Source organism: Homo sapiens, chromosome 11, assembly GCF_000001405.40.
Source record: "Homo sapiens chromosome 11, GRCh38.p14 Primary Assembly".
Classification (NCBI taxonomy): domain Eukaryota; kingdom Metazoa; phylum Chordata; class Mammalia; order Primates; family Hominidae; genus Homo; species Homo sapiens.
The window spans coordinates 86,330,039-86,352,683 of NC_000011.10; the positions used below are offsets into that span (position 1 = coordinate 86,330,039).

The window sequence follows — 22,645 nt, forward strand, 5'->3', positions numbered from 1 at the left end:
GGTATTTTTTTTCTCCCCTTTTTTGGCATTCTTTTGGATTGTGTTTTTAGCCCATAAATCTTTGGTTCTTTCACTATATACCTTTGCATTAGTTTTTTAGTGGTTCCTCTAGGGATTACAATATACATTGTTAACTTTTCACAGTGTTCCAAGAATTAATATTACAGAAATAAATGTTTATATTTGACAACTATGAAACCAGACTTGGTAATTTTTATAGGGTCTTGTCAACTACAAGCAAGTTTTCCTTGTTTGTCACCCCACTTAGTGAAGTTCTGAATATAATGACAAAAACTTCAGGGCAAAAATCTTGGTGACTTATTTTGAATTAAAGATATTTATCTTCATTCTCATCATATTTGTACCAAAATTCAACATTGCAGCCCTTCATAGCATGCAAGGGAGTTAGATAACAGGAAGCCAAAAGCTCTATTTAGATACTCTGCATATTTTCTTCAAAGTCTAGAATTTGCACATCCTTCAGAGTTGAATAACAAGAAGCAAAAATATCATTTACTCACTTTTATTTTGATTTAATCTGGTCCAGAGAAGCATTTCATGATCAGGTCCAGGTTGTCCTGAGAATTTTCTCAGTGGACTACCTAAGTCTCCTCAGTGAAGTTCTTTGACTAGCCTTAGCCTGCTTTTCTGATGAATTAGAAATCACTTGTACCTAAAGTATTTTCTTCTAGTTCTATATTTGTACTGTCAGTACTTTTTGAAATTTTTTTTCTTAAAATATCTTACCAAAGTTCTGAAAGTAATTTCTAGCCTTAGCAGTATCATAAATTGTCAGATGCATGAGAAAACTTGATAGTCTTTTCAGTATTCAGACAGTCAACTGAATATTGGTTTCCACTTATAACAACATAAACATCTGTTAAAACCTGTAACAGCTATGAACAGTGATATGATTCGTTATGGATCTCAGTGATACTCATTACTGGTTGTATAATCTTAACCAAGACCTTTAATTACAGAGGAGAATTCAGGTAAAATGGAGATAATACCTGCAGTGCAAGTTTTTTTTTGTTTTTCTTTTTAGGGATAATGTACACAAATGCATGGTAGTACCTTGTACACAGTTGGTACTTAATAAATGGTTGTTATATTTTCGTAAAATCATAGAATGTCAGCACTAGAAAGGATGTTAGAAATTACCCAGATAGGGCCAGGTGCAGTGGCTCACGCTTGTAATCCCAGCACTTTGGGAGGCCGAGGCGGGCGCATCTTTGAGAACAGGAGTTCGAGACCAGCCTGGCCAACATTGTGAAACCCCATGTCTACTAAAAATACAAAAATTAGCTGCACATGGTGGCACACACCTGTAATTTCAGCTACTCAGGAATATGAGGCAGGAGTATCACTTGAACCTGGGAGGTAGGGGTTGCAGTGAGCTAAGGTCACACCACAGCACTCCAGCCTGGACAACAAAGCTAGACTCTGTCTCAAAAAGAAAAGAAATTACCCAGATAATGAAACCAGTTCAGAATGGTTAAGTGACTGTTACTGCCCTCCCTCCCCCGCCACATTAGGGTGTAAGCTCTTTGAGAATAGGGATGTTTTATATCTTTTATTTTGTGCTCTATAGAGGACAGTGATGGACTTTAGATACTTTGCTTCATTAAGTACCTTTCAGACATACTATGGTATCAGATAAATTATATTTTTATCTAGTGTAAAATTACTGATAAGCCTTTGAGAGTCACATAGCTCTTAGAATATACATTAGTGAAAATGTAATTTCAGGTTTGTCTAGGTATCAATAGAAATGAAGCAGGGAGTTTTTAGAAATACATATTTCTAAATTTGTATATTCAATACTAGGAATGCTTTCAAGCAGGCATATTTAAGTTGTTTCTGTGTAGTTTTTTAGCTATGTCATCATAGTGAAATGCTACTGCATAGTGAATTCCTTCCTTTTGCCATAACTGTTTTCTTTTCTTTTTTTTTTTTTTTTGCGACGGAGTCTTGCTCTGTCGCTCAGGCTGGAGTGCAGTGGCACTCCGCCTCCTGTGTTCATGCCATTCTCCTGCCTCAGCCTCCCGAGTAGCTGGGACTACAGGCGCCTGCCACCATGCCCAGCTAACTTATTTTTATTTTTTTTAGTAGAGACGGGGTTTCACAGTGTTAGCCAGGATGGTCTCGAGCTCCTGACCTTGTGATCTGCCCGCCTCGGCCTCGCAAAGTGCTGGGATTACAGGCGTGAGCCACCGTGCCCGGCCCGTAACTGTTTTCTTTAGTCCTCATCTCTTTGCTGCTATGCACACTTACAGACATCTCAACCAGTGGACTTTTAATTTTTAAATTTCCCTTTTGAGCATTTTTACCCATTAGAAGGATTGGTACTTCATGAGTTTTATTCTTTTGTAGAGGTCTTAAAGAACAGAGAGGAAAAAAAAATAAAGAATAGAGATAACATTTACTTACATGTTTTTTAATAGAATAAAACTCATTTTATCTTGCAATTACCATATGGACCACTTTGTAAATCTAAGAAGCATTTGGGGATATTACTGGTCTTACTTTACCTATATATTGAAGCATTTTGTTATTTCATCCAGGAAATTATTTTATCAGTACTCATCAAAACTATACTTACAAAAAGGGGGCTAAAATAAAAAAAGAAAAATGTTGGAATTAGCTAGAGTAGAAGTTGGCAAACTTTTTTGTGAAGGATCAGTTAGAAAATATTGTAGGCATTGTGGGCTACATTTGATCTCTGTGGCATATTATTCTTAAACAACCCTTTAAATATTTGAAAACCATTCTTAGCTCCCACGTCATACAAAATAGGTTGTGGGACCGATTTGGCCTGTGGGCCTTGGTTTGTCATTGCATTAACCTACAATTTTCATGTTGCATTGCCCAAAAGATTATGCCACCTTTTAAGTAATATAAAAGGAGACTGGAGACACCATCTTTATGGTCTCTTTTTAGCTTTTATTGAACAGAATGTAAATTCATACTTTTAAATATTTTGTTCATAATGGCAAAGAGAAGAAAATTGACAGAGGAAGAAGTTTCACAATTATTAGACAAATCAGAAAATGAATACTGAAAGGTAAATTCTACACTGATGACGATGGTAAAGTGGATCATATAAGCAAAATTACCTACTATGAATCTTCAAATAAGATCTCATTATCTGAGTTTTCTCAACTAAAAATTTGATGATTGAACAATGTATTTTTAAGGATCAAGAGAAAATATGAGGCCGGGTGCGGTGGCTCATGTCTGTAATCCCAGCACTTTGGGAGGCCGAGATGGGTGGATCACTTGAGGTCAAGAGTTCCAGATTGGCCTGGCCAACATGGTGAAACCCCGTCTGCACTAAAAATTTGAAAATTAGCCGGTGTGGTTGCACAGGCCTGTAATCCCAGCTACTCGGGAGGCTGAGGCATGAGAATTGCTTGAACCCAGGAGGCGGAGGTTGCAGTGAGCCAAGATCGTCCTACCGCACTCCAGCCTGGGCAACAGAGTGAGACTCTGTCTCAACAACAACAACAACAAACAAACAAAAAAAAAAAAGAAAAGAAATATGGTATTCTACTCAGTCATTTAAGAAGAAGGAATTTCTCACATAATATTTTGTCATGGACAAGTAGTAAAGGATGTGTTCTGCTATTCTTTTATCTCTTATATTTGTGTTCCAAAATAGACTGGATATGGTTTTATAAATAGACAAATGCTGAAAGCAGGGGTGTATAGAGAAGTGATTGGAAGGAAATAGGTATAGGAATGAAAAAAAAAATAATTGGCTTGATCATTCTAAATAATGGTTATAAATCTAAAAATGAAAATATTTTGCAAAATGTAGATCAGAGGATAGCCATCCTTCAACAAATTATGAGCCGTTAAAGGTTTCAAAACTTCAAGCTTTCAGGTATTATATTATGGCAATGTAGATGCCAAAAAAAGAACAAGATACAACCATAAGCTATAACTTTATTAATAGATATCTGACTTATGAAATTTATAAAATGGATGTGTTCCATAAGACGCATGTGTTCCATGTTTATCCATGATGGTTGATGGGCAGTTGTATTCACAGGACATAGCCCATTTCAGCTATATCTTAAAAACAAGGAAAATGTGGAATGACTATCTGGATTTGCTGTACTTAAATACTTAGAAAAAATCTAATAAAGTTGTTTTCCACTATTTCCTGATTCTTCTCAACATTCTTTGTAAAATATGTGTGTGTGTGTGTGTGTGTGTGTGTGTGTGTGTGTAAAGTTTCCATTAGATGCAAATAACAAATGATGGTGACTGCTTTTCCTTGTATACTGAGAATAAAGAACTAGCTCCCTGTAGGAATTTTTCCTCTGAGTTGTGTTTTGTGTTAGGCTCTTGATTTACATGGAGGAGGGATGCTTTGAGAAAGAGTCTTAAAAAAAATTAGCTGCTGCATTTACTGTTAACAGTGTTTTAAAGAACTTGATCTAATTTACATTTGTTTTTTATATTAAGACTAGGTCATATATTTTGCTTGCTCTTCTTTGTATTATGATTTATAATTTATTATTTTTGCATCTATTTGATGATATGCTTTGATAATGATATGTTTTCTGGATTTTAGCATAATTCTAGATTTAAAAGAAATCAAACGGTAGAGTAAGGAGCTCCAGAAAATCCAGTCTTCCATAAAAGCAACAACAACACTGTCAGAAGATCACAGCTCACTGTAGTCTCGATCTCCTAGGCCTAAGCGATCCTCCCACCTCCACCTCCCAAGTAGCTAGGACCACAAGCATGCACCACCTCGCCTGGCTAACTTTTGTAGAGATGGGGTCTCCCCATGTTGCCCAGGCTGGTCTCAAACTTCTGGGCTCAAGCAGTCCTCCTGCCTCAGCCTCTGAAAGTGTTGGGATTACAGGATATGAGCAACTGTGTCTGACCCAGAATCAACTTTTTTGGAACTCTGGTAACTAACCAAAAGCTTGTAGCAATCAGGGGAACATTTAATCAAGAAAATACACTGAATCTCAGTAAGAACAGTGAGCTTTGTGGCATTTGGCTACCCTTGTCCCATCTGCTTCTCAGCTCAGTGATAGCCTTGAAAATAACAGACTCCATTCCTGGTACTGATATAGGGAGCAGGATAGACCTAATTCAGAAAGAATTGTAATTAACTTGTTTTCATCTGTCTGGTGGCTTGCTAGAAGACTGTTTAAAAAAAAAGAGGTCTGCCTTTATGTCACCTAACTTGGAACTCTTCATGGAAAAGTATCTACCTTGGGGGTGTTTGTTAAAAGTATTTACAGACATATGTTTTAGCTACTGTTGCCCGAGGCAAAGGAAAACAGTTGGAGTAAACCAAAACTAACCAGAAAGGTTGGGAATGAGATGCTTTGGGGAATGAGGGCTTTGAAATTCTCTGACATATTCTTGGTAATCTAGAAGGGTACGTGCATTCCCAGAGCTTTGTGCATGCTCAGGAAAGACCCGCGAAGACCCAGAGCTCTCTCTTCTGGCTCACTTTAAGTCTCCGCACAAGCAGGAAGTGAAGACTAAGGTGGAGTTATAAACTGCCTGGCTGAATACTAAAGGCATGTCCCAACACGCAGAGCCCATCTGCAAAGACTGGCAGAATTTTTTGGTTGCAGAGGTTTAAGGAAATTTCTTTCTAATCACTAGCAGACTACTAACTAATGGAACAGAGACTTCACTGGCCACACATAACAAAGAAACAGACTTTACAAAATTAGTTCAGATAAGTCATTAAATGAGGAAACAACTACAATAAACAGCAACAACAAACCCCTAGAAGGTGGAAACATCTGATTTATAGCGTCGTCACATTGTAATATTCAAAATGTCCAGTTTTCTACAAAAAATTATGAAACATACAAAGAAACAAAGTAAGGCTCTTATACAGAGGAAACGAACAGAAACTTCCCCCAGGGAAGCACAGGCAAAGACTTTAAGTAAGCTGTCTTTATTATGCTCAAATTGCTAAAGGAAACCAGAAGAATGATACATCATCAAATAGAGAATATCAATATAGAAATTATAGAAAGGAACTAAACAGAGTTTATAGCTGAAAAGTACAGTAACTGAATGGTTCACTAAAGGGCTTAGATAGCAGAATTGAGTAGACAGAAGAAAGAATCAGTGAAGTCGAAGATAAATTAATTGGAATATCCAGTTTGAAGAGCAGACCCTTAGAGACCTGTGAGACACCCTCAAGTGCACCAACATGCACAGCAGACACAGTGTAATGAGAGTAACATATGGAAAGGCGGGAGGGCTGGAAAGAATATTTGCTCTGGTCTGAATGTTTGTGTCTTTTTATATGATGAGGTCTTTTAAATTTATATGCTGAAATCCTAACCCCCAAGGTATTGGGAGGTAGGGACTTGGATGGTGACTGGGTCATGGGAGTAGAGCCCTCATGAATGGGATTACCACTCTTAGAGTAATAAGAAGATCACTTGCCCTACTACCACGTGAGAACACAGTGAGAAGGCACTGTCTGAACCAGAAAATGGTCCTTCACCAGATACCAAATCTGCCGGTTCCTTGATCTTGGACTTCCCAACCTCCAGAACTGTGAGAAATAAATTTCCGATGTTTATAAGCTACCCAGTTTATGGTGTTTTGTTATAGCAGCCTGAACAGACTAAAACAATATTTAAATAAATAATGCTCAGAAACTTCTCAAATTTGAGGAAAAACATTAACCACATTTAAGAAGCTCAAGAAACTCCAAGTAGGATAAACTACACCAAGACACACGATAATCAAACTGTCAAAAGGTAAAGAGAGAATGTTGAAAGCATCAAGAGAAGTAACTCATCACATGCAAGGATCCTTGCTAAGATTAATAGCTGATTTCTCATCAGAGACCCCATAGTCTTCTAGACGGTAGTGGATTGGCATATTCAGAGTTCTGAAAGGAAAAAAAAAAAAGCCATCAACCAGGAATTATATACTCAGCAAAACTGTCTTTAGAGATGAAGGAGAAATACTTTCCTAGATAAACAAAAACTAAGTCATTGCTGGCAGACCTGCTCCATAAGGAATGCTAAAGGGAGTCTTCTCTATTAATTATTTATTTTTCCCACACTCTGTTACTGTCTGTGTCTAGTTGCAGTAGTTTCAATACATTTCAGAAATGTGACAGCTATTTTTCTGGTGGGAAACTTTTAGTTCTTTTATTCTTTGTTAATATGCTAAAAACGAAGTAGGCTTTTGCATTTATCTGAAAAGAGGGACAAACTTGGACATAAAACTTTTTCATGTATATAAATTAGAGGTTCTTTATAAATTTACAAAGGAAATTGTGTGACTACAAGTTTAATTTGAAATGTGTGTCATATGTTAATTTCTTGCAGGAGAAGGAAGCCAACATCCTTTTGGAGCCATGAATATTGTCCGAACTCCATCTGTTGCTCAGATTGGAATTTCAGTGGAATTATTAGACAGTATGGCTCAGCAGACTCCTGTAGGTAATGCTGCTGTATCCTCAGTTGACTCATTCACTCAGGTAATGCAACATACATTTCATTCTTTACCTCCCCCTCCACTGCTTTATTAAGGTATAATATACAAGTTAAAATCGTAACTTAGGGTATACAATGTGATGTTTTTGATACATGTTTACATTTTGTTTTGTTTTATTTTGTTTTTGAGAGATGGAGTCTTGCTCTGTTGCCCAGGCTGGAGTGCAGTGGCGCAATCTCGGCTGACTGCAATTTCCGCCTCCCGGGTTCAAGCGATTCTCCTGCCTCAGTCTCCTGAGTAGCTGGGACTACAGGCACATGTCACCACACCCGGCTAAGTTTTGTATTTTTTTTTTAGTAGAGACAGGGTATTGCCATGTTGGCCAGGCTGGTCTCGAACTCCAGACCTCAGGTGATCTTCCTGCCTCGGCCTCCCAAAGTGCTGGGATTACAGGTGTGAGCCACCACACCCAGCCTATATTTTGACATAAAATCAAGCTACTTAACATATCAGTCACCTCACACAGTCATCATTTTTTTGTAGAGAACAGTTAAGATCTGATCTCTTAGCAAATTACAAGTATACATTATTAGTAACTGTATTCTCCATGCTGTACAATAGATTTTCAGAATTTATTCATTCCATTGAACTGAAACTTTGTGCCCTTTGACCAACATGTCCTCATTTTCCCTTCCCCTCCACTCTTCAACCCCTGGCAACCATCATTCTACTGTCTGCTTCTGTAAGTTCAACTTTTAGATTCCACATATAAGTGAGATCAATCATGCTATTTGTCTTTCTGTTCCTGACTTCTTAGCCTATTATCAAGAGGAAAAATTGATGATGTAGGAGAGCAAGGAGAACTGCTAAAGCAGTGTCCTTGAGTAGAAAATAGCAGCATATATGGAGGTGTTCACTTTAGACAGGATAATGGATATATGGGTACAGATTCAGGAGGCTGGTAGATGTGGTGATGAGAACTTGTGCAGGCTGTCTCCTGATTTCTTCTTGCTTAGTGAAATAGAAAGGACGATCATCAGCTAAGATCGAGGTAGTAGAAATTGAAATAAAAAAAGACTACTAAATAAGTCTTCTAGCAGAGGAGGAGTGAATGGATTAGGGAAACCATATGTGTTTGCCTGGCAGTACCAGAGGCGCACTTTTGAAGGTTGTGGTCATGAATGTAAAGGTAGATTTGTCACATCTTTGAAAATGGACTGAATTGAGAATGACAGACTCTGGGTCTCAAAAATGTTTTTTTTCCCATAATTTTACAAATAAGCTGCTGTGCTGAAAACAAACTATAAAATAATCGTAGTATCCTGTGTAGACAATATTTTAAAAGTGTCTGGAAAATACACATTAAAATGTTATCCCTGGAGAAGGGTAAGAAGACTTTTTTACTGTACATGTTTATAAATTATTTGAGTTTTTAAAATAAAACTATAGTTTTAATTAAATGTATTACGAAATATTTTAAATACAGAGAAAATAGAGTAACTTATATTTTCCACAAATAGTTATTATGTAACTACTCTGTACCAGGCATGTCTTTTTTTCTTTTTCTTTTCTCTTTGAGACGGAGTCTCACTCTGTCGCCCAGGCTGGAGTGCAGTGGCGCGATCTCGGCTCACTGCAAGCTCCGCCTCCTGGGTTCACGCCATTCTCCTGCCTCAGCCTCCCAAGTAGCTGGGACTACACGTGCCCGCCACCAGGCCCAGCTAATTTTTTTTGTATTTTTTCGTAGAGATGGGGTTTCGCCGTGTTAGCCACGATGGTCTCGATCTCCTGACCTCGTTATCCGCCTGCCTTGGCCTCCCAAAGTGCTGGGATTTCAGGCGTGAGCCACCGCGCCCAGCCTGTACCAGGCATTTCTAAGCACTCATAGATACAAATAGGTCCACAAAATAGAATAACACCTGTCTTTACAGAGCTCTCTTTATGGTGGGGTATACATTAAGACTTCCATTGTCTTCCCCCTGGATTTAACTGTTATATTTTGTCTTATTTGCCACTAATTTTTAAAAAAGAAATTAAGGCATTATAGATATAGCCCACTGCTGCCTGCTTCTCTTCCTGCCTTTTACCTTCTAACTTTTTATATCTTTCCTATTCATATTTTAGTACTTAAAAAAATTCCTGTGTATCCACAAAATATGTATAGTACTATCTGTATCTGTTTAAACATGTTTCTAATTTAATTACTTAGTTACTCCAAATTTTTATGAGTATTACATGTATTTGGTTTAAATAGTCAAATAGTTTTTTTTTATTATACTTTAAGTTCTAGGGTACATGTGCAAAACGTGCAGGTTTGTTACATATGTATATATGTGCCATGTTGGTGTGCTGCACCTATTAACTCGTCATTTACATTAGGTATTTCTCCTAATGCTATCCTTCCCCCTGCCCCCCACCCCAAGACAGACCCGCCCGCCGTGTGTGATGTTCCCTGCCCTGTATCCAGGTGTTCTCATTGTTCAATTCCCACCTATGAGTGAGGACATGCGGTGTTTGGTTTTCTGTCCTTGTGATAGTTTGCTCAGAATGATGGTTTCCAGCTTCATCCATGTCCCTGCAAAGGACTTGAACTCACCCTTTTTTATAGCTGCATAGTATTCCATGGTGTATATGTGCCACATTTTCTTAATCCAGTCTATCATTGGTGGACATTTGGGTTGGTTCCAAGTTTTTGCTATTGTGAATAGTGCCGCAGTAAACATATGTGTGCATGTGTCTTTATAGCAGCATGATTTGTAATCCTTTGGGTATATACCCAGTAATGGGATCACTGGGTCAAATGGTATTTCTTAGTTCTAGATCCTTGAGGAATTGCCACACTGTCTTCCACAATGGTTGAACTAGTTTATACGCCAACCAACAGTGTAAAAGCGTTCCTATTTCTCCACATCCTCTCCAGCATCTGTTGTTTCCTGACTTTTTAATGATCGCCATTCTAACTGTTGTGAAATGGTATCTCACTGTGGTTTTGATTTGCATTTCTCTGATGACCAGTGATGATGAGCATTTTTTCATGTATCTGTTGGCTGCATAAATGTCTTCTTTTGAGAAGTGTCTGTTCATATCCTTTGCCCTCTTTTTGATGGGGTTGTTTTTTTCTTGCAAATTTGTTTAAGTTCTTTGTAGATTCTGGATATTAGTCAAATAGTTTTTTTGAGATGGAGTCTCACTCTGTTGCCCAGGCTGGAGTGCAATGGCGTGATCTCGGCTCCTGCAACCTCTGCCTCTCAGGTTCAAGCAATTCTCCTGTCTCAGCCTCCCAAGTAGCTGGGATTACAGGCGCGTGCCACCAGGCCTGGCTAATTTTTGTATTTTTAGTAAAGATGGGGTTTCACCATGTTGGTCAGGCTGGTCTTGAACTCCTGACCTCGTGATCCACCCACTTTGGCCTCCCAAAGTGTTGGGATTACAGGCGTGAGCCATCACGCCCAGCCTCAAATAGTGTAATATGTGAAACAGCTGTCCTCTGTTATGACTCTTACATTCTACTTCTATTCTGCTCCTTAGAAGCTATGATTTTCAACTTCCCTCCCCTTTTTAATCTATTTTTCCTAGTGTCTGTTATTTCCATATATCAGAAAAAACCTTGCTTAAAATCTGTTAGTTTTTCTGTTATAGATGTTTTCTATTTATTTGCTAATATAAGACATGATGAAACTCTCTCACTTCCCTGCTTCCCAACATGTACATACTTCTTTTCTCCCCACCTTATCAGTATACATTTTTGTTAAATCAGTATTAAAAGTTTACAGTATTATGAGAAGGTAAATATTTTTCAGAATTGAGCTATGTGTGGTACAACGATTACATTTCTTTTCTTGTATAATTTTTCATTTTTCCTCATTTTTTTCCTTTGCATAGATTTCTATGTTTCTACTTCTAATTTATGCTCAAACTCTACTAAGTGTAAATTCTCATTCAGTTTATTTAAACATATCAGTTTCAAATTGGTCTCGGAAACATTCCACTTGGAATTCTCCTTTTTTTTTTTTTTCTTTTTTTTTGAGACAAGGTCTTGCTCTGTCGCCTAGGCTGGAACGCAGTGGTGCAATCACAGCTCACTGCAGCCTCAAACTCCTGGGCTCCCACTAGTAGCTGGTAGCTGGGACTACAGGCAAGCATCACCAAACCCACCTAACTTTTTAATTTTTTGTAGAGATGGGGCCTCATTATGTTGCCCAGACTGTCCTTTCTTTTTTGTTCTACTGTTGACTGACTATTCTCTGGACCTATTGTATAGCCATAGACAAGGTATTATTTCACCATTACTACAGAAATTCTTTTTGTTTCTCTTCTGTGTTGAATCCTTTGTTTTTCCTTCTTGTTGATTTGTTCTTTTGTGTGTTTTAAAAATGAATATAAATAGTATTATTCTGTATAACTTGCTGTTGTTCACTCAACATTATTTTAAAGATTTATCGATGTTGATACATGGAATATACTTTGTTTTGATTGCTTCATAGTGTGCCATTGTATAAATGAGCCAGTTTTTTTCATTTCCTTTTTCATATGTTCTCACTAACATTTATCAGACCTTTAAAATTTTGCCAAACTGATGAGTGAAATTAGAATATCATACTTAGTTTGTGTTTCTTGATTACTGGTGATATTGAGCATCTTTGCACACTTTTGGCTGTGTTTGTATTTCCTTTTATAGGAATTGACTTTATATATTTTGTCCAATTTTCTGTTGTATTGCTTTTGGCACTTTTTAAATTTAGTCTTTTGGGAAAAAAACCTAAGATGCCTTTATGTGTTCTGGATAATAATCCTTTGTAAATACATTGCATTTTTCTCCTTCTAGCATGGTGCTTGTCTTTTAACATTGCTTATAGTGACTTTTACATACAGATATACTATATTTGTATATAGATAAATGTATTGTTTCTTTTATGATTTGTGGATTTGTGGGTTTTTTAATGTTTGAGAAATCCTTCTCTGTCCTGATATGTAAAGATATAAAGATGTTCGTGTGTGTGTGTGTGTGTGTGTGTGTGTGTGTGTGTGTGTGTGTAGACTGGGGGTCTCGCTATGTTGCCCAGGCTGGTCTCAAACTCCTGGCCTCAAGCAGAGCCTAAGATGTTGTCTTTCAGTTCTTAAAGCCTTAAGGTTTACTTTTTGAATATGTTTGTGTGCAGTATGGTAAGGGAATTAAATTCATTTTTCCCCTTATGGAAAACTAGTCCTAGCCCCATGAATTGAGTAATTTGTCCCATTTTTTTTTTTTTACCATGAGTAATAGCATCTTTGTCATATATGCTTAGGTTTATTTCTGGGCTGTCTCTTTTATTCCAATTAGTTTATTTGCCTGTCTCTTTGCCAGTGGGGCAAGTTCCTCCTCACAGTCATCAAAATATGTATAGGTATTCTTCATAATAATTGTGTAGGTATTCTTCATAATAATTATATCAGCTTGTTGAGTTTCATTAAATAGTATTAGCTTGTCAAGTTTCATGAAGAACCTTGTTGGAATTTTGTTGGTAATAACATTGGATATATGGGTTTAATTTGGGGAGAATTGGCCACCTTTACCACATTGTCTTTCCATATGTGACATGTTATGTCTTTCCATTGAACATGGTATATCTTTCCATTGAAAATGGTATATATAGGTCCTTTTGTTTTCTTTTCTGTCTCTTAGTAGTCTTTATAATATTTTCCACAAAAATCTTACTAGTTTGTCTTAGCATTTTTTCTAGGTATTGGAGAAAATGCTTTGTTTATATTCTGAATGGAATCCTTTTAAAGATTTCAGTTACACTTAAAAATTATTGTCACTGGTGTGGAGGACTGCTGTTGATTTTTTTTTTTTTTCCTAATATTGATCTTTTAGTTGTGACTTTAGTCTGGGTACAGTGGCACATGCCTGTAACTCTAGCACTTTGGGAGGCTGAGGTGAGAGGATTGCTTGAGCCTAGAATTTTGAGACCAGCCTGGGTAACATAGTGAGACCCTGTCTTTATAAAAAGATAAAAAATTACCCAGGCATGGTGGTGCATGCTTATAATCTCAGCTACTTGGGAGGCTGAGGCAGGAGGATCACTTGAGCCTGGGAGATCAAGGCTACAGTGAGCCATGATTGTGCCACTGCATTCCAGCCTGGGTGAAAGAGTGGGACCCTGTCTCAAAAACAAACGAAGAAACTGTTAGTGACTTTACTGAACTTTTGATATTAATCAGGTGCCTTCGCAGCAGAGTCTCTTGGATTATACTGCCTTCATATTATTCAACAACTGAATAAAAAAACCTAATAAGACCAATTCTCTTGTGTAGAGAAGAGAAGGCATGGCTGATTTTGTATATTTGAGAAAGTGATGCTGGAAAGGTTATTTTTGAGTGAGTAGAAGGTAGTATTATCTTCAGAAGTTCAGTTACTTTTAGGGTTAGTACTTAAGCCCATTTGATTCTCAGGAAATGTGAGTCCATTTACTTCTAGCTTCTACCAAGGAGACTTGGAGTATGTTAGTGAATTTGATCATTTTAGAGTCAAGGAAGGGAAACAGATTAGGAAACAGAGGAAATGGAATAGTGCTGCCTTTATCTTCTTTCCAGCAATGGAAATAACCAGTTGCTCCTTTATAATATGTAAACTCTTATCTTTCTGGCAGGTAAAAGACTTCTTAGAGATGGTTACTATTTTATATGAGAAAATAGGTTGATTTGAGGAGAGTGATAATTGAGGAGGGACATAGTGGATGCAGACATGGAGATGAAAGAAAATATTTTGAAGAAAAATTTTTTTCTTTTTTTTTCCCCAAAGTGAGTAGCATATTTCACAGTGTCATTGTATGTATGATTACTCTTAACATTCTTTTTTATTCATTTATTTAATTTTATTTTTTTGACACAGGGCCTCACTATGTTGCACAGGCTGGTCTTGAATGCCTGGCCTCAAGTGATTCTCCTGCCTCAGCCTCCCAAAGTTTTGGGATTACAGGCATGAGCCACCGCACCCAGCCAGCTTTCAGCATTAGACTCTCTTAGAACTGACACTCCCTATAAACAAGTTAATGTGAGAACACTTTTAATTTAAAAATATTGAGTTCTAAATGAAGTATTCAGTATAATCCATTAATCTATTATTAACTTTTCAGTTCACACAAAAGATGTTGGACAATTTCTACAATTTTGCTTCATCATTTGCTGTCTCTCAGGCCCAGATGACACCAAGCCCATCTGAAATGTTCATTCCGGCAAATGTGGTTCTGAAATGGTATGAGGCATTTTCTGTCTCCAATATTAAGGCTTTTTATAACTGAATATCTATTTTGTCTATGAATATATTCCTTTTTTGACATTTAAACATATTCTTTTATTGTGAACATCAGCACTGCATGCCATTAAAGTATGTACTATAGAGATCTGATGAGAAACAGTTCTTACCCTAAATATTTTGTTATATTGTCGCCATTATGAATTTATAAAGACAGGAAAATATAGTTGCCTATGTTTTAGGGACCACTATTAAAGCTTATAAATATTTGTGTATTTTCATTTAGAAGTACCATCTATGAGAGTAGTTTATACTGCACTGTGTACATGAATGGCTAATGAATCTATTTTCCAACTTTCCCGTGTTTTATAGATATTTCTTTTCACTTTGAGTATCCTAGAGATGGGAGGATGCCTAGGAAGAGTTTGTTGAGAAGTGGTACCATGGTGTAGCATGGAGAGCATTGGAATGCACTAGGTTTGAATTTTGGCATAATGTAGCTATGTGACCCTGAGCAAATTTCTCTCATCTGCTCATCTGTGGAATGAGGAAATAGGAGTTGAATTTGATTTTTTTCCTTAGGTCCCTTCTAGGTCTTAAATTTGCAGAAGATAAACAATTACTAAAATTTCTTATGATTTGTGCTCTCTGATAAAAGCTAATCAAAACTGCCCCGATATTTAAATTCCTATGCTTGCTGTCTTTTTATAAGAATAATTACATTTCCAGATTATCTTTTTAGATTTTTTATAGCTTTTTAGAAATGACATGTAAAATTGTTTTGGATAAGTCATTTGGCAGTTAATGAAAGATCCTATTTTAATTTTCTTGTGAATGTAAATATATGTGTTTTCTTTTCTAGGTATGAAAACTTTCAAAGACGACTAGCACAGAACCCTCTCTTTTGGAAAACATAATTTGAATAAAATAATTTTTAATGGATTCTGAAATTTGTCATGTTTTGAAGATAACTGACTCCATCTAAAAGTATGAGGTCAAAGGATCACGAAACCTAAGTTTAAAAACTGCTTAGAGACTGAAGCTTAATTAAAAATCTTTATTAAAAATTAAAAACATTGAAAAATGAAAATATGTTCATCATTAAAGACTTTTTTCCCCTTAAGCTTAAAATACCATTCAAAGGCAAGACATTTTGTTTTGGCTATGATTCATTTTTTTTACTTAAAAATAAAACCTATACCAAACAGTAGTGTGCCAAGTACCATTGCATGTGTAATCATTCATTTATTGAAATGAAACAATGGTTTGCTGGAGTAGTTAACTTTTCAATTACCTATTTCAAAATTTGGGAGACTTGAAAAACATATGAAGTATACATTTTTAAATATGGAGAAATTATTTTCAGAGATTATTTCTTAAGATTGTCAGTTTTTCCAATTAATACAGGTTGGCTGTCACTTTTTATATCTGCAGATTCATATAAGTTTAATAAAATTGCCATATTGGTGAGCTTTTATTTAATACTGGTAGGCATTTATGTGTAGAATATAGGATTCTTCTTGTTAATGGATGGTTAGTAGTTCATTTTTTGTTGATTATAACAATACCCAAAACTGGGTAATTTATTGACTTAAATGTTTTTTTTTTTTTTAAGACGAAGTTTTGCTTTGTTGTCCCGGCTTTAGTGCAGTGGCGTGATCACAGCTTATTCCAGCCATGACCTCTTGGGCTCAAGTGCTCATCCTGCCCCAAGCTTTCCATGTAGCTGGGACTGCAGACGTGCACCCCCATACCCAGCTAATTTTTTTGATGTTTTTGCAGAGACACAGTCTTACTGTGTTGCCCAGACTAGGCTTGAACTCCTGGGCTCAAGCAATCCTACTTCAGCCTCCCAAAGTGCTGGGTTGGTAATTGATAAAGAAAAGGATTTTTTTTTTTTTCCTACAATGATGGAGACTGAGAATTCCAAGGCCAAGGGGCTGCAGCTGGTGAGAGGCTTCTTGCTGGTGGGGAGACTCTGAAGAGTCCTTAGGCAGTGCAGCGTATCACACAGTGAGGGGGCTGAGCATGCTTTTGTGCCAGCTGAGGTCACTCTTCCTCTTCTTATAAAGCCACCAGTTCCCCTCCTGTGATAACTTAACCTATGGGCAGAGCCCTCATGATCCAATCACCTCTTAAAGGCCGCACCTCTCAGTACTGCCACATTGGGATTAAAATTTCAACGTAATTTTGGAAGGGACAAATATTCAAACCATAGCAATTGTTGAATCATGAGACTTGGCAATGGCTACACAACAGTCTTTAATACTCTGCACAGAAAACATCAGCTAATTGCAATACAATTTCCAGAAGCAAAATGATTATTCATGTACTACAACTTGTATCTAGGACCTAGATTGCCAAACCCAAGCTGAAAAAACATCCTGAAGTTCAGTTGTGCCTCTTCTACAGTCAGGTAGCCTCTTCCCAGTGATTTTTGTAGTGATACAACAGGAAATACTAAGTAAACACAAACTATTCCTTGGTCTGCTAAGAAATCAAAAGAATATATGATTATTCATGATAATCTTGGGTTGTAGTGAATTTAAACTAGTTTCTTGGGCTTCCAGAGCAGATGATGGGAGTGAAATTTTGGGCCACATTTTCTAGTATTATTCTTACTTCTAGAATAGTATCTTGCACAGTATGCATAAGGAGTCATCACTTCTGGGAGCTTTCCTGAGTAGCCTATACCTGCCTTATTTTGGAAGTTTCTGGTTATTCTCGGAGACACGTGATATGCTGGAAAGAAAAGGGCTTTAAATATCTGAACATCTAACAATTATTCTATATATGCAAGGTAGGTTTGTGTACAGGAGGCAGGTAAAAACCTGGTGTTGACATAAATAATGCCGGCTGGGTTACAGAAGATAGTAGAAATATAAATATTTATCACAACAGGAGTGAGCCAAGAATTGTTTCCTTGAGGTGGGCATATTCTTAGAGGAGTTAAATAGTTCCTACAGAGAAGTCTGAAAAATCTGGAGAAAACTGACTAGTGCAGTGAGGATAGCTCCAACATTTGTCCCCTGCCTTGGTGAGCTTGATTCTGTCTGCTGACAGTGCTGTAATGATTGTAGCAGAAGTATATTTGTTTAATTAAGGTAGAGATCCAGTTTTTACAAGAATGAAGAGTGAGGTTAATGATATGAAGAAAATTCAAATACCAAAAGGGACCTGTGGGAATTAACTGGCCTCCTCAAGAATTTAAAGGAAATATATATATATATATATTTTATGGTGGAATTTGAAAGATTCAGGGAGTAGCTATAGTTTGAGAAAACTGCTCAAAATTCTTAAGGTGGCCAAAAAACACCATAAAGAATTAAGTATAAAATGATAAATGTGAGAGAATACTGAGAAACCTTTAGGCAATCTCTAGGGAGTACCAAACTGTAATAAGCAGAAGAGGGAAAGTAGCAAAGGTATCAGAAAATTAATCTTCCTTGTTGCCTTGTAGCCTTCCTTGTTGCCATGCTGTCTACTTTGTATTGTCATTTGTTTGATTTGAAGGTCTTGATTAGTAGTCTTCCACCAAAGATGTTGGCTTCTGGAGGATTCCTAAGAATCATTGGTTTAAGGTCTCCTGATGGAGTGGTTGTTTAGCTGTCTGGAGAAGGTACTTGTCATTTAGTTGGGAAACATAAACCCAGTGATCATCATCTTGGAGTTTACTGCCATGCTAGTTGTTACAGTATCTGCTGAGCTAATTTTTCACTGAGGCCAGTTTTTCCCTGATGTCTCTTCCAGAAGACTAAGTTTGCTGATAGTTGAGGATGTTGCAGACAATGATGTTTTTCTAGATTAGAGAAGAGTGGAATCCACTATTGAGGAACAATACAATTTATAAAATGATTATGAGAGTACAACATATTATGGACAATATTCAGTGATAATTCTCTTGGTCTGTAATCTCGTAAAGTATATCTTTTTGCAGACAGTTATTGTGTTAGTCTTTACATGAACATGAGCATGTTTCTTTTTACCTGAAATGAAACACTGAAACATTTTTATTCACAAATTTTACCTGGCATAATTAACAGGAGAAGGCTAATCTCTTGATTTGTTAAGTTTTCTTTTTTTCTTTTAAGTTTGATTTTTTTTAAAAAAAAAGTCTTAAAATGATTGGGGATTAATTAAAATTTGTAGAGTGCCAAACAAACCTAATTTTTCCTATTGTCTTTTCTTCCATAATGTGAAGGAAACCTGAAGAGTTCAGGCATAAAAGACATCTTCATAGTCTTACTGTGCCTGAATTTGGGAAAGGCCAAAATTATAAAGAGTTGTCAGAGGAGAGAAGATATGAATATTAGTCAAAAATATATAAAGGTGGCTGGGCATGGTGGCTCACGCCTGTAATCCCAGGACGTTGGGAGGCCGAGGTGGGTGGATCACTTGAGGCTAGGAGTTCAAGACCAGCCTGGCCAATATGGTGAAAGCCCATCTTTACTAAAAACACAAACATTAGCCGGGCATGGTTGTGCATGCTTGTAATCCCAGCTACTCCAGAAGCTGAGGCAGGAGAATCACTTGAACCCAGGAGGTGGAGGCTGCAGTGAGCCGAGATGGTGCTACTGCACTCCAGTCTGGGTAACAGAATGAGACTCAGTCTCAAAAAAAAAAATTTTTTTTAAATTAAAGAATTTAATTTTTAAAAGATTTATTGAGATATAATTCATATTCCACACAGTTAACCCATTTACAGTTAACCCATTTAAAGAGCCAGGTGCAGTGGTGCACAGCTGTAATCTCAGCTACTCTGGAGCCTGAAGTGAGAGAATTGTTTGAGCCCAGGAATTCAAGACCAGCCTGGGCAACAGCAGAGACCTTGTCTCAATTGAATGAATGAATGCTTTTTAGTTTAGTCTCAGATTTGTGCAAATGTCATCACAATCTAATTTTTATTCCTCCAAAAGGAGCCTCATATCCATTAGTAGTTAATCCCCATCTCCCAGCTTCTAGTATCCCTAAGCCACCACTAATCTTTTTGTGTCTGGATTTGCCTTTTCTGGATATTTTATATAAATGGAATCAGAGAGAGTGGTCTTTTGTGACTAGCTTCCTTCACTTAGCATAATGTTTTCAAGATTATTCCATGTTGTAGCATGTATCTGTACTTCATTTCTTTTTATCTTTTTTCTTTTCAATTTTTTGAGACAGGATCTCCCTCTGTTGCCTAGACTGGAGTGCAGTGGTGCGATCACGGTTCACTACAGCCTCGACCTCCCAGCCTCAAGTGATACTCTCACTTCAGCTTCCCGAGTAGCTGGGACTAGAAGTGCGCACCACCATGCCCAGCTAATTTTTTTTTTTTTGGTATTTTTTGTAGAGATCTAGTCTCACTCTGTTGTCCAGGCTGGTCTTGAACTCCTGTGCTCAAGGGATCCACACACCTCAGCCCCCTGAAGTGCTGGGATTATAGGCATGAGCCACTGTGCCTGGCTAGGAGTTTATTATAGATACAAGTCTCTTAAAAATAGGATTTGCAAATATTTTCTTCTGTGAGTTATCTTTTCACTTTCTTGTTGATATCATTTGCAGTACAAAAGTTTTTAATTTTGATGTAATTCAGTTTATCTTTGTTTTTCTTTTCTTGTTTCTGTTCTTGGTGTTATATCTAAGAAACGATTGCCTAATTCAAGGTTGTGAAGACTGACTCCTGTGTTTTCTTCTAAGAGTTTTATAGTTTTATCTCTTTCATTTAGGTCTTTGATTCATCTTGAGTTAATTTTTGTGAATGGTAAATGAATATGCACATTCTTTTGCGTGTGAATATCCAGTTTTCCCAACATCATTTGTTGAACCGTTAGTCTACATTTGAACCATATCAAGTTAATTTTGGTGCACAAACATAAAAGATAAAAGAATATGTGACTAGGATTATTAGGTATTTTAGTTTTTCCAAATTAGTATTTTAGCTTTTTTAAAAAATGACTTAATATGTCAAAATGCTTAGTGATAGAATGTTACAGTGATAGAAGAAATCTTTGTTATCTCACCAGAGATAGCTTTGCTGTTTTATCAGAAAGAAAATCCAGATTATAGTTTTACTCTTGTTACTTGTCTTCTATTTAACAATATGTAGTAATGGCTTCATAAGCCTTTCTTCCTGTGAATACATCCATCACATTTAACCAGCTTCGTCAAAAATTTTGACACATTTATTGATCCTTTCCAACCCCTAACTTGTCAAATACAGTTTACTCCTCAGAACTTCTACACTCTCTGAATACTTTTTTTCTGAGATGAAATCTCACTCTGTCTCCCAGGCTGGAGTGCAGTGGTGTGATCTCAGCCCTCCTGAGTTCAAGTGATTCTCCGGCCTCAGCCTCCTGAGTAGCTAGGATTACAGGTGTCTGCCACCATGCCTGGCTAATTTTTGTATTTTTGGTAGAGATGGGGTTTCACCATGTTGGCCAGGCTGGTCTCGAACTCCTGACCTCAAGCGATCCACCCACCTCGGCCTCCCAAAGTGCTAGGGTTACAGATGTGAGCCACCGCGCCCGGCCTGAATACTCTTAAGTTTAAAAAATACTCTTCAAATGGTATTTCTAGTTCTAGATCCCTGAGGAATCGCCACACTGACTTCCACAATGGTTGAACTAGTTTACAGTCCCACCAACAGTGTAAAAGTGTTCCTATTTCTCCACATCCTCTCCAGCACCTGTTGTTTCCTGACTTTTAAATGATCTCCATTCTAACTGGTGTGAGATGGTATCTCATTGTGGTTTTGATTTGCATTTCTCTGATGGCCAGTGATGATGAGCATTTTTTCATGTGTTTTTTGGCTGCGTAAATGTCTTCTTTTGAGAAGTGTCTGTTCATATCCTTCACCCACTTTTTGATGGGGTTGTTTGTTTTTTTCTTGTAAATTTGTTTGAGTTCATTGTAAGGATTATAAATCATGCTGCTATAAAGACACATGCACACGTATGTTTATTGCAGCACTATTCACAATAGCAAAGACTTGGAACCAACCCATATGTCCAACAATGATAGACTGGATTAAGAAAATGTGGCACATATACACCATGGAATACTATGCAGCCATAAAAAATGATGAGTTCATGTCCTTTGTAGGGACGTGGATGAAGCTGGAAACCAGCATTCTCAGCAAACTATCACAAGGACAAAAAACCAAACACCGCATATTCTCACTCATAGGTGGGAATTGAAAAATGAGAACACATGGACACAGGAAGGGGAACATCACACACTGGGGCCTGTTGTGGGGTTGGGGGAGTGGGGAGGGATAGCATTAGGATATATACCTAATGCTAAATGATGAGTTACTAGGTGCAGCACACCAACATGGCACAGGTATACATATGTAACAAACCTGCACGTTGTGCACATGTACCCTAAAACTTAAAGTATAATAATAAAAAAATACTCTTCTAGGCTAGCATAACCAGACTCTCCTTAAGGTAAAATAATTCTTTTTTACTTAGATAAATAAAATTCATTACCTTGCATACACATCCCATTACCTATCCACATTTAAAAAATATCTTCAAAACAAGTATTCACATCAACATAAAGCCATCTATACATCCTTTTTAACCTGGTAGCTAACAGCTACACCAGTTATTAAAGCACATATGTCATAAAATTGTCCAGTTTTCCAAGGTTACTTACAAAAGAATATTCATATCCTTAAAGTTAACTAAGGATCTGGAAATCACAAATGAAGCTGACACAGGAAGTCCTTATGGTTGTAGCTTAAGAATTAACAAATTTAGAATCTTTTAAAAGACATTTGTTATAAGTCCATTTTGTTAAACACAACTTGAGCTTTTTGTAATAAATAATTTGTGGAAAAGAGATAACACTTAAAACCTATATAAAAATTTAAGTTTAAATATGGAATAAAAGTCATTTATATACATTTTCTGACTTAAACATTCATTAAAACAGTTTCATGACCTGCTATTTCTCCTTTTCCATTTAGAGCCTGTGGTG

General features: G+C 37.0%; 1 protein-coding gene and 1 long non-coding RNA gene across 14 annotated transcripts in view; one reads left to right on the forward strand and one right to left on the reverse strand.

Moving 5' to 3' along the window:
• The window catches only part of HIKESHI (heat shock protein nuclear import factor hikeshi), a 43,704-nt gene extending 27,799 nt beyond the window's left edge, over positions 1–15,905 (forward strand). For 7 of the 11 annotated variants that reach the window (NR_136324.2, NR_024598.2, NM_001322407.2 and 4 more), the window contains 3 exons: positions 7,341–7,492; positions 14,565–14,683; positions 15,546–15,905. Coding sequence is in view for 7 of the 11 variants with exons in the window: in NM_001322407.2 (NP_001309336.1) it covers positions 7,341–7,492; positions 14,565–14,683; positions 15,546–15,600 (326 nt within the window). In the remaining 4 variants the exon portion in view is untranslated. Of the gene's footprint in view, positions 1–7,340; positions 7,493–14,564 lie in introns of all 11 variants that reach the window. The other 4 variants (NR_024597.2, XR_001747904.3, NM_001322404.2 and 1 more) reach the window with 4 other exon arrangements.
• The window catches only part of LOC105369421 (uncharacterized), a 60,137-nt gene continuing 43,417 nt past the window's right edge, over positions 5,926–22,645 (reverse strand). For all 3 annotated transcript variants that reach the window (XR_007062826.1, XR_007062825.1, XR_001748531.2), the window contains one exon: positions 5,926–6,895. This is a non-coding gene — a long non-coding RNA (uncharacterized LOC105369421). The remainder of the gene's footprint in view (positions 6,896–22,645) is intronic.